This window comes from Homo sapiens, chromosome 2, assembly GCF_000001405.40.
Source record: "Homo sapiens chromosome 2, GRCh38.p14 Primary Assembly".
NCBI classification, from domain to species: Eukaryota; Metazoa; Chordata; class Mammalia; order Primates; family Hominidae; genus Homo; species Homo sapiens.
In genome coordinates this window covers 111840184-111852313 of record NC_000002.12, presented here as the reverse complement: position 1 = coordinate 111852313, position 12130 = coordinate 111840184, and the positions used below count along the sequence as shown (strand labels likewise).

Here is a 12130-nt window from a genome sequence, read left to right as displayed (position 1 = left end):
GTTACGTAAGGAATCAAACCAGAAACCTAGGGAATTCATCATTAGGTCATTCCTGGGTCTCAGGTTACTAGCCAGTTTGTCTTCTTTTCTTCACTTTTTCAGAATCTTCTGTTAGTTGCATTATAAATTTTATTCAGTTTTTTTTTCTTTTTGGTGATTAATGAGGGAATAGCATGGTATGTGCTTATTCCATCTTTTCGTAAATTAGGGGTTTGAGATAGCTTTTAAAAAATTATGCATAATTAGTTCTCACTGTTATTTTTGTTTTTTAAGCCTAAGGATTTTATTGGGGCAACTTCTGTTATTTTGTTAGCTTTTGAGTAGTGTGTTAACATGAATACGTACGTTGTTAATATCTCATTTTAGTTCTGAGCATCTCCTTTTTAGTCTTATCAAGTTTTCAGCTTGTACAGATGTGAATTTCTGTTTTTGCTAAGTACCCTACAGATAGCCAAAATAAGGAGTGGTTAGCACGGATTGTCAACTCATTCTTTTTTTTTTTTGAGACAGAGTTTCGTTCTTGTTGCCTGGGCTGGAGTGCAGTGGCGCGATCTCGGCTCACTGCAAGTTCTGCCTGCCGGGTTCACACCATTCTCCTGCCTCAGCCTCAGAGTAGCTGGGACTACAGGCGCCCGCCACCACGCCCGGCTAATTTTTTTTTTTTAATTTTTAGTAGAGATGGGGTTTCACTGTGTTAGGCAGGATGCTCTTGAACTCCTGACCTTGTGATCCGCCCGCCTCGGCCTCCCAAAGTGTTAGGATTACAGGCGTGAGCCACCGCGCCCGGCCGCTGTTCTTACTGTCTTTATGACCAAAAAGGTAGAAGAGTACATAGTGTGCAGATTTTTATATAATGTGTTGACTATATTAACATTCCTCTCCTTGCCTGCAAAAAAAAGTCTTCAGTAATGAAGAGAAGGAATCCAACCAAGAGAAATTATACCAAGGTGTGAGAGGTCTAGGTGGGCAGATGGCTTCAGCCCAGAAGTTCAAGACCAGCCTGGATAACATGGTGAAACCCTGTCTCTACCAAAAAATACAAAATTAACCAGGCATAGTGGCATGTGCCTATAGTTCCAGCTACTCAGGAGGCTGAAGTGGGAGGATCACTTGAGCCTGGTAGGTTGAGGCTGCAGTGAGCTGAGATCATGCCACTGTACTCCACCCACGGGAAAAGAGTGAGATCTTATCTCAAAAAAAAAAAAAATTATACCAACATATTTGCAGTTGGATAGTGGAATTGGATAGATTATTGACATTTGAATTGTTTCTTTGCTGTGTTTGGTGAGTATAAACTTAGAAATATCAAAAGAAATATATGTTTATATTCCTTAACATTTTATTTAAGGATATGATGCATTAAAGGCAATATTTTTTTTTCCACATGTTTTTATTGCTTAAAGGTGGGAAAGGTTTTTATTCCTGGACTGCCAGCTCCCTCTCTGACGATGTCCAACACAATGCCTCGGCCCAGTACTCCACTAGATGGCGTTAGTACTCCAAAGCCTCTTAGTAAACTCCTTGGATCATTGGACGAGGTAAGAAAAGGACTAGGTGTTGCCAAAAAGTTAACATTTTTTAAAGAAGTTTGGTTAAACATTAGTTCTTTCCATGGTTAACTTAATTTTAGTTTCTACTTGCAGAATAAATGTTTTCAAACAGAAGTGATTCAGTTAACATACACTGACCTCCCTTGTGATGTATGTGATACTTTTTGAAGGTGCTGGAGAGATGGAAATGATACATTCTTTTCCATCTAGGGATCTCACAATTGTGTGGAGTTGATGTACTGTCTGCATAAGAAATTAGAATTTAAGAAAGACTCATGACTCAGTAATGTGGAAAAGAGAGTACCATCGTTGATTGACTGATGGGAAGATAACATCCGATGGGAAGATAACATCCAATGGGAGGACATGGCAAAATCAAAGCCTCACTGAGAGACATGTCAGTCTTCGTTTGGACCTTGGGGTTGAGTAGGATATCTGTAGGTAGAAAGGAGCATTCAGGGCAAGGAGAAACCACACAGGCACAGGCAGGAAGGCCAGATAATGTGGAACATTTTTTAGTGGATATTTGTATCTTCATCTCCTAGTCATAAGGACTCAATAAATCTGTAGAATAAATACTTATAAAAGTACAAGTAGTCTGTAGGGTGAGGCAGGATAGGGTTTGGATAACAATAATAACCTTTTTTGAGCATTTTCTATGTGCTAGGCATTGTTCTCAGTGCTTTATTAGTATTAATTATTTCCTTAGAATAGCTTTATTGAGAAGATAGTACTATGATTCTTTTTTTTACAAATGAGATAGAAGTTACAAATGAAATAAACCTAATAAGTGGTAGAACTGGGATTTACACTCTTACTAATGTGCTCTTAAAGGCAGAAAGGATAAAAAGGTGGTTTTATTCTGAATGCAATTGACAGGGCATTACAGGATTTTGAGAAAGGAGTTATGAGGTTTTGGATCTGTGTTGTAAATAGGTGTATTTTGGGATTAAAGATAAGGAGACCGGTTAGCCTCCAAGTGAGGTTGTCTGTGTCAGTTTAAGAAGTATGAAGAGGGTCTGAGCTAGGGCAGTATATGTGTGGAAAGGAGGGATTAATATGAGAGGCCTTGAGAGGTGGAAATGAGTTTGTCAGCTGATTGGTTTTGTGCTGCTGGGCTGGGGAAAGGTGATGTGGAACGAGGCTCCGAATTCTCTGAATGACCTGGGAAGGTACCTGGATTTACCAAGTTAGGAAGCCTGGAGAAAAGTGGTTTGTATTTAAAGGACATGTGAGTGTGGATGTTTAGGGACGGTTCAAAGGGAAGGTTAGTGCTATCAGTTGTATTTGATAATGTCTGTGTCTTCATTATATTTTTAAACATGTGCCACATTGAATTTTTTTTCCTTCAAACCAGCACATTTGCAGAACATTCAAAGGGGGAACTGGAGAAGTGTCAGAGTGTTCTGTGTGATTTGGAAGAATTTCTTTTATAATGGAAAATGGTTTCCAACTTTTTTAGAATTCTATAAGCCTGGTAATAGTGCCTTTTTGATAGGTGTAAAGTCATGGAAATGATAGTCTTAACACATTGGCTGATTGATGGCTTTTCCACTTCTCTGGAAGATTTTGCTAGTAGACTTAGAGCCAGGACCAGCGGAGCTGAATTTTTCCTGGTGACTTTTAGAGTAGAATCTGGAATAGAGTAAATACATCTTAGTCTTGATTGTCAGTGTTGACAAGATATTCACTTAGAGATATATAAATTGAATTAAAGGAATCAAAAAGGATCAGTGGTCATGACTAGAGTTTAAGATTGGAAGCATCTGCATGTAGATAGTAACTAAGATCGTTTAAATTTTTTGTTTGCATATCTGCAGTTAAGCAAATAAATACTGTTCCTGTATTTTTGAATAAATAATTGCCTATAGGGGAAATACCATTAAATACTGGTCTCATTTGTTGGCTTTTTCATTACTGTCCTTTCTTCCTGGGCTCTTAGTTCCTCAGCTGCCTCAAATCACAGTTTAGTCTTTTTTTTTTTTTTGAGATGGAGTCTTGCCCTGTCATCTAGGCTGGAGTACAGTGGGGCAATCTCACCGTACTGCAACCTCCACCTCCTGGGTTCAAGCGATTCTTCTGCCTCAGCCTCCCAAATAGCTGGGACTACAGGCACCCGCCACCACACCTGGCTAATTTTTGTATTTTTAGTAGAGATGGGGTTTCACCATGTTGGCCAGGCTGGTCTTGAACTCTTGACCTCAAGTGATCCACCCGCCTCAGCCTCCCAAGGTGCTGGGATTATAGGCATGAGCCACCGCGTGCCCCGGCTCACAGTTTAGTCTTTAGCCCTGTAAGGTTGCTAACAGTGCTGCTGGCTTCTCTCCCTCTTAGCTATGACTTTCCTTGCATATTGTCAGCCTTTCCATATGTTCCTCTTACCACCAAAATTTGCAGATGGCCAGAGCAGAAAAAGCAAGGCTCTCCAAGAACGTTGGCCCCTTTCCCTGCAGTTGCCTTCTCTCCTAGATCTTGGTCCCTCAAGTCCAGGTTGCTTCCACAGCTTTTCCATAGCCACCAATCAGATGTTTTCCTTTTACCTACCTTTTCTAGTTGTTTTCTGTGAGGACCTTGGTTTGCTGGTACTTCATTGTATCTGGAACAAAATGTTTTAAAGAGCCTGGGTCTTGCCGTGTCATCCAGGCTGGAGGGCAGTGACTATTCACAGGCTCACTACAGCCTCAAATTCCTAGGCTTAAGTGATTCTCCTGTCTCAGTCTTCTGAGTAGCTGGGACTATACAGGTGTGCACCACCATGCTTGGCTTGGAGCAGAATGTTTTTGAATCATTACATATTATTGTTTGTTAGACCATATGCAAAAAAGAAACAGTTAAATTTCCTTGTCCTTAATTTCTCAGAAAACAATTCATTTGTATCGTATTTACAACTTTTTACAGGTTGTTCTGTTGTCCCCAGTTCCAGAACTGAGGGATTCTTCAAAACTTCATGATTCTCTCTATAATGAGGATTGTACTTTCCAACAGCTTGGAACTTACATTCATTCTATCAGAGATCCTGTCCATAACAGAGTCACCCTGGTAAGTATAAACATTTGGTAGCTTTCCAAGAAGTGGGCTGGCATTTCAAATTTGACAGAATACAGAATTTTGTCTGAAAAATGACAACAAACATTTCTCATGATTTAAAAAAATCTATTGTGTCATTTTTTGGCACGATTTTACTTTTTACTATACAGTAATTCTGCTTGTTTTCTACAGTTTCTGTATTATTAAAAACTTAGTGAAAACAAAAGCTTGTTGAGTCAGTTGAATTGTATATTGATGTGATTTTTTGTCTTCTCATTAAAAGTAAATGTCCTTTTGATGATGGTGACTCACTGTATAAAGATTAGACACTTTTTATTAAAACAAGCATTTTGGAAAACATTTTGCAAATAATTACATTTAAAGTTTCTGAAATTCGGAAGTGTTCATTTCTGTTTGAAAATTGTTTTTCATTTATTTTATTGCTTTGATGGGCAAAGTCTTGTACCAGCTATTTTTAAGACATTCAAAGACTTAGAATGCACAGATTTTATCTACTTTCTCATTTGTTTCCATCTAGGAACTGAGTAATGGCTCCATGGTTAGGATCACTATTCCTGAAATTGCCACCTCTGAGTTAGGTACGATTGAGAAGTTTCATTTATAAGACATGAAGTAATTGTGATTTACATTAATAATTGGGGTTTTAAACATTATTTTGCCATTTTTGAAGCCACTGGATCAAGTTCTTAGCTTTGTAGAGGAGCTTTAAAGAGCTAGGGAGTGCTTTGTGATGTCCACTCTACGTGCGCTCTAAGGCTGGAGTACAGGTGAAGGATGTGCTAGTTCTGTTCCCTGAGGTTCTTCTGTTGGGGAATATTGTGCAGTATAATAATATATGGACATGCCTGCTGGGCATGGTGGCTCACACCTGTAATCCCAACACTTTGTGAGACTGAGGCGGGTGGATCGCTTGAGGTCGGTAGTTTGAGACTAGCCTGGCCAACATGGTGAAACCCTTTCTCTACTAAAAATACAAAAATCAGCGGGGTGTGGTGGCGCACTTCTGTAATCTCAGCTACTTGGGAGTCTGAAGCAGGAGAATCGCTTGAACCCAGAATGCGGAGGTTGCAGTGAGTGGAGATCGTGCCACTGCACTCCAGCCTAGGTGATAGAGTGAGACTCTGTCTCAAAAAAAAAAAAAAAAAAAAAAAAAAAATATATATATATATATATATATATATGTATATGTATATATATGGACATGCCTCTTGCAAGAACATCTGGGAAACTGGAAGCTTAAGCAACTAAGATAATTCTTGGCATATTTAATGTTTTTTTTTCTGTAATGTATTAATGATGTTTTTAATTTTAAAATAAATATCTCAATTTTCAGATAAATTGTGAAAGTAACCTAATTGCCTTAATTGAATAAAACTTAATATTATTGTCAAAATACAATCAGAATTATCTTAATAAATATTGGATTCTGCTTGAATTATTCCTGAGATGCAATTTCAAAAATGCTTGAGGAGAATATTTCTGAACATAGCATAGTAAACAAAATGTTAGAATTGAAGGGATTTGCCAACAAACGTAGGTTAAGAAAAGAATGCCTGTATGATATAAGGAAGTTCATGACATATCTTGGTTTCAAATCTAACTGCCAAAGCAGGACATTGGCAGATTGTAGACAAGAATGACTTTTTCATTTTAGGAATTTTCACTGCTGGTAAATGGTATTCCAAGTTGATATAGAGATTCCTTGCCTTCTAAAAGGTATTTTTTTTTTTTTTTTTTTTGAGACGGAGTCTCGCTCTGTCGCCCAGGTTCTGGAGTGCAGTGGCGCAAACTCGGCTCACTGCAAGCTCCGCCTCCCGGGTTCATGCCATTCTCCTGCCTCAGCCTCCCGAGTAGCTGGGACTACAGGTGCCCGCCACCACGCCCGGCTAATTTTTTTGTATTTTTAGTAGAGACGGGGTTTCACTGTGTTAGCCAGGATAGTCTCGATCTCCTGACCTCGTGATTCACCTGCCTCGGCCTCCCAAAGTGCTGGGATTACAGGCGTGAGCCACCGCGCCCGGCTCTAAAAGGTATTTCGTAATCACAAGGCCAGGTACCTCGAACTATTATAAGCCTAAGCAAAATATATAAAAACAAATAATAATGGAATAAATTAAATAAATGAAAACAAAAAATCTTACCCCTTTATAGCCAAACAGAAGCCCCATAGTTTATGCACATAAGTTTATGTACTTTACCTGCAGAGGGTTCTCACACACTCATGCAGCATTGGGTTTACACTTATTTTGGATTCCACTATGACATACTTGGTTATTTGGTATTTTAATATTATTTGCTTCCAACCTGTGCTGTGTGAGTTTGCACATTGCAAACTGATGGGATAGAGGATATGTTGATGAGGGTGGGCCCAGTGGCATGACAGTGGAAAGGGAAAAAAGAATCCTGGAAGAGAGGATATGTGAGTACACAAACATTGCAGTTTGGGATTATTTACTACTAAAAGCAGATTTGGGTCTCTTCACAGTGGTAGCCCTGGCCACTCTGAGGGGATCATTGTATGACAGTGTAGTGCTATAATTGATGTGGAGCCATTGAGAATGGTATAAGGCCAGGTGTGGTGGGCTCATGCTTGTAATCCCCTCCCTTTGGAAGGCTGAGGTGAGGGGGTTGCTTGAGGCCAGGAATTTGAGACCAGCTTGGACAACATAGTGAGACTCTGTCTCTACAAAAAGAAAAATAAAATTAGCCAGGCATGCTGGCATGCATCTGTAGTCCTTGCTACTTGGGAAGCTTGAGCTGGTGGACCACTTGAGTCCAGGAGTTGGAGGTGACAGTGAGCTATAATTGCACCACTGCACTCCAGCCTGGGGACAGAGGAAGACCCTGTTTCCCCTTACCAAAAAAAGAATGGTGTAAATTATGTGGTATTAACTCTTAACCCTTTTAAGACAGAGAGCCTGTGAAACATTTTAGAAACTGAACGACCTCAGAAATAAAGTTATAAAGCTTTGGTTAATAGGCATGTTAACTCATTTAGAACATCATGTAATGCTAGCTAAGCATTGCTATTCGTGGATGCATATATTGAATATTATATATTTACTGAAGTATGTAGGCAGTATTTTATATAAATGTATAAACATAGAAGTTGTATGTTTTTCATAGTGACTTTTTTTTTTTTTTTTGAGACAGAGTTTCGCTCTAGTCATCCAGGCTGAAATGCAATGGCGTGATCTTGGCTCACTGCAACCTCTGCCTCCCGGGTTCAGGCGATTCTCCTGCCTCAGCCTCCTGAGTAGCTGGGATTACAGGTGCCTGCCACAATGCCCAACTAATTTTTGTATTTTTAGTAGAAATGGGGTTTCACCATGTTGGTCAGGCTGGTTTCGAACTCCTGACCTCAGGTGATCCACCCGCCTTGACCTCGCAAAGTGCTTAGATTACAGGCGTGAGTCACCATGCCTGGCCCATAGTGACTTTTAATTTGTCACCCGAGCTAGAACATCTTTAAGAGTGAAGGCGAGCAGTTAGTAATTGCTGGGCAATGGATGTAAATCAGGACTGTCTCTGGCAAACTGGGCTATTTGATTACTTTATTTCTGATGCAAAATTAATGATCAAAAAGCTGTCCTTGGCCGGGCACAGTGGCTCACACCTGTAATCCCAGTGCTTTGGGAGGCCAAGGCGGGTGGATCATGAGGTCAGGAGTTTGAGACTAGCCTGGCCAACATGGTGAAACATGGTCTCTACTAAAAATACAAAAATTAGCCTGGGGCAGTGGCAGACGCCTGTAATCCCAGCTACTTGGTGGCTGAGGTAGGAGAATCGCTTGAACTCAGGAGGCAGAAGTTGCAGTGTGCCAAGACCGTGCCACAGCACTCCAGCCTGGGCAACAGAGCGAGACACCCTCTCAAAAAAAAAAAAAAAAAAAAAAGCTGTCTTCAGACCCCTTTCAAGCCTTGTTGAATTCAGTAGTTGGTTTTAGTTTCAGATGATTGGTTAGGTAATGTTTGCATCTCATTGGCTCTTTAATGACAGTTTTCTTTTCATAATAATTGGCCTTTACATAGTAGAAGTTAAAAAACTTGGTGATTGAAAGGGGAAAAGAAATGCATGCAGAGTAAGAATACTAAAATTAATCTTTGCTTTTAATAGTACAAACGTGTTTGCAAGCAATTAAGTTTATCCTGCCAAAAGAAATAGCAGTTCAGATGCTTGTCAAGTGGTACAATGTCCACAGTGCTCCAGGAGGACCCAGTTATCACTCAGAGTGGAATTTATTTGTGACTTGTCTCATGAACATGATGGGTTATAACACAGACCGCTTAGCATGGACTAGAAATGTAAGTAAATACTATTGTTTTCTTTATGAGTTATTCTGTTAATGTAATGGTTGCATAATTGGTAATATAACATTGAGACTACATAATAGGCGTACCATATTCAAAATAATAGAATAATATTAAGGTTTATTGTATCTATATATTGTAAATAAAATCTCACTTAATATTTAATATTAACATTTTACTAGTGATTATAATTACTGAGCTTTAGAATGTTAAAGCATATATGACTATTTCTCATTTCACCTTTGTAAAATGACTGCAAGTTATGCTAGGATTAGTGATAGTCTTGGTTTTATTGATGAAGAAACTGGATCACAAAGAAATCACAGATCTGTGGTTTTTTAACAACTATGACTAGACTGCATCTTCTGACTCCTTGTTTAACATTGTTTTCTGAAGACAAGATTGTCTTTTTACACACATATTGCTTGGGATGTGAAGAGGAAGGTTTGATTTGAGGGAGATTTAAAGTACTTTAGCCTGAGTATCTACTCTGTTAATGGTATAAAGCCTTACCTCTCACCCTCTTCCTGCAGTAACATCCTTACAGGCCCTTATTAGATTATTTACAAAATCAGCAGAGTGGTGTCTTCAGTATTGGTGATCTCCTTCTAGCTTTGGAGATCACTCCCAGGACAACTTTGCCTGGGTCACTCTGAAAAAAAATCACTCTAGATTATAATTACCCCTTTTCCAGGTAGCTCAGCTGTACCATTCTATATGTTTTAGCCTTGCACAGCAAATCCATTTTTTTTTTTTTTTTTTTGAGACAGAATGTCGCTCTGTCGCCCAGGCTGGAGTGCAATGGCGCAATCTCAGCTCACTACAGGCTCTGCCTCCTGGGTTCACGCCATTTTCCTGCCTCAGCCTCCCGAGTAGCCAGGACTACAGGCGCCCGCCACCACGCCTGGCTGATTTTTTGTATTTTTAGTAGAGACGGGGTTTCACCGTGTTAGCCAGGATGGTCTTGATCTCCTGACCTCATGATCTGCCCGTCTCAGCCTCCCAAAGTGCTGGAATTACAGGCGTGAGCCACTGCGCCTGGCCAGCAAATCCATTTTTAAAATTTGTTTTTTGTCTTAATTATGAAAGGAAAATGTGGAAAATGGAGGAATTAAGAAAATAATTATACTACTTAGAGATAACCACTCTAAATATTTTTGATGTTACCTTCTATATAAAAATACCAATGAAAATTTCCCGTATCATTAAAAATTTTTTCTAAAATATCTCCATCATTTCTTCATAGTGTAGTTTTATCATAGTTAACCAATAGCTAATAATTGTACCTTGTGAATCTGTTGTTTTCGTTATTGTAATTTATAAACATCCTTTTTCACGACTCTTTAACCACATCTCTAGTTACTTCCCAAGCATTGAATCTTAAAAGAGAAACTGTGAGGTCAAGTAATGTTTGGAAAGGGGTTCCCAGGTGACATTCTTACTAGCATCATTTAAAAGCGCCCATTTCACCACAGTGTTTATTTGTGGTGTGGTGAACCTTTGCCAGCTTCCTGAGAAATTTTATCTTATTTCTCTATAAGTAAATGGGAATGTTTTTTTCAAAATTTCATCAGTTATTTATAGTTCTTATTTTTTGATTCGTATTTCATGTCCTTTGTCTATGTTCCAGTCTCTTCTCAGTCCAGTGGCCACAGTAATCCTGTTTGATAACGTCAGGTTGCGTTCGTCACGCCTCTGCGTAGAATCCCCCAGTGACTTCCCATGTCACTCAGAGTAAAGGCCATAGGCTTATAAGATGCCATGTGACCTAGCCCTTGCTCACCTTCCTGCTCTTATTTCTTAATGCTTTGCACACATCATCCCAGCCACATTGGCCTCAGCTCTGTTCCCTGAGCACTGCCAGCATGTTTCTGCCTCTGAGTGTTTGCACTTGCCATTACCTCTATGGAGAATGCTTTCCCTCCGACAAGACGTGCTTAGGTCTTTATTCAGATGTCACCTCAGTGCTGCCTGTCCTGTCTCTATAGAATTACACCTGCCTCCATACCTTTAGTGCCATTTACCTGTTTTTTTTTCTTCTCACTTAATTAAATATAATATACTATATGTTTTACTTATTTTGTTTTGTGTCCTTCCTCCCCCAACTGGAATGTAAATTCTAGGAAGGCAAAGATTTTTGCTTAGTTTTGTTTACTACTCTCTCTCTCCAGGACCTGTGGTATTGCCTGGCATAGAAGGATACTCAGTGAACATTTGTTGAGTGAATGCCATTTTCCATCTGAGTGAGATACTGTTTTTAAGAGTTTGTGTCTATTTCAGCACATGAAGGAATTGCTCTCTGCAATTTCCTTGAGAGAAATCTTATGGGAAAATAGGGACAATTTTCTTTTCTTTCCTTTTTTAAGACGGGGTTTCGCTCTGTCGTCTAGGCTGGAATGCAGTGGCGCTATCCTGGCTCACTACAACCTCTGCCTCCTAAGTTGAAGCGATTCTTGTGCCTCAGCCTCCTGAGTAGCTGGGATTACAGGCATGTACCTCCACGCCTGGCTAATTTCTTTATTTTTAGTAGAGACGGGGTTTTGCCGTGTCGGCTATGATGGTTTTAAACTCCTGAGCTCAAGTGATCCTCCCACCTTGGCCTCCCAAAGTGCTAGGATTACAGGTGTGAACCACGGCTCCTGGCCTTCTTTTCTTATTTTAAACAATTGTATCCGAGTGACATTATCCCCAATTTTTCTGTTCTTTATTACATGTGAAAAGATTAAGCCTCATAGAAACTGGATTTCTACATTATGAAAAAACGCGTCAGCTTTCTGTAGTTTTGTGTATCATTGTCCTTGTAACTTGTTGATGAGTACAGATTGTTGTGTCCTAGTCTCTGGCAGAGAACCTATGCCCCTTCGCGTTTCCATGTTTTGGGGAGGACTGAGCACCTACCCATTTTTTCCTTTGCAGAGAAGGACATGGCTTTTTGACTTACTTATTGCATGATAATTATAAAGGAAGGAATAAGGAAATCAATTCTTGAGGCCAAGTTGCTTTGCTATTTATTTATAGGACTGCATGGTTAAACCCTTGTTATCTTTTGTCCTCATAGTCAAAGCTTAGGATAAAATGGTCCTCATTGGCAAATGGTTTTCATTTTGCTTTGTTCAGATTTATTCTTTTTGTTTTCACATATGTAATGTGGTGGAGTACAGAATTTCTGCCAATGACTCGTTACACAATTTTTGGCATTTCTTTGTGCTTTCTTTAATTTGC

At 39.5% G+C, this 12130-nt stretch overlaps 1 protein-coding gene across 9 annotated transcripts in view; it reads left to right on the top strand.

Moving 5' to 3' along the window:
• The window catches only part of ANAPC1 (anaphase promoting complex subunit 1), a 117963-nt gene that overhangs the window by 31880 nt on the left and 73953 nt on the right, over positions 1-12130 (top strand). For all 9 annotated transcript variants that reach the window (XM_017004711.2, XM_017004710.3, NM_022662.4 and 6 more), the window contains 4 exons: positions 1404-1538; positions 4449-4589; positions 5116-5176; positions 8715-8902. In XM_017004711.2, the coding sequence (XP_016860200.1) occupies positions 1404-1538; positions 4449-4589; positions 5116-5176; positions 8715-8902 (525 nt within the window). The remainder of the gene's footprint in view (positions 1-1403; positions 1539-4448; positions 4590-5115; positions 5177-8714; positions 8903-12130) is intronic.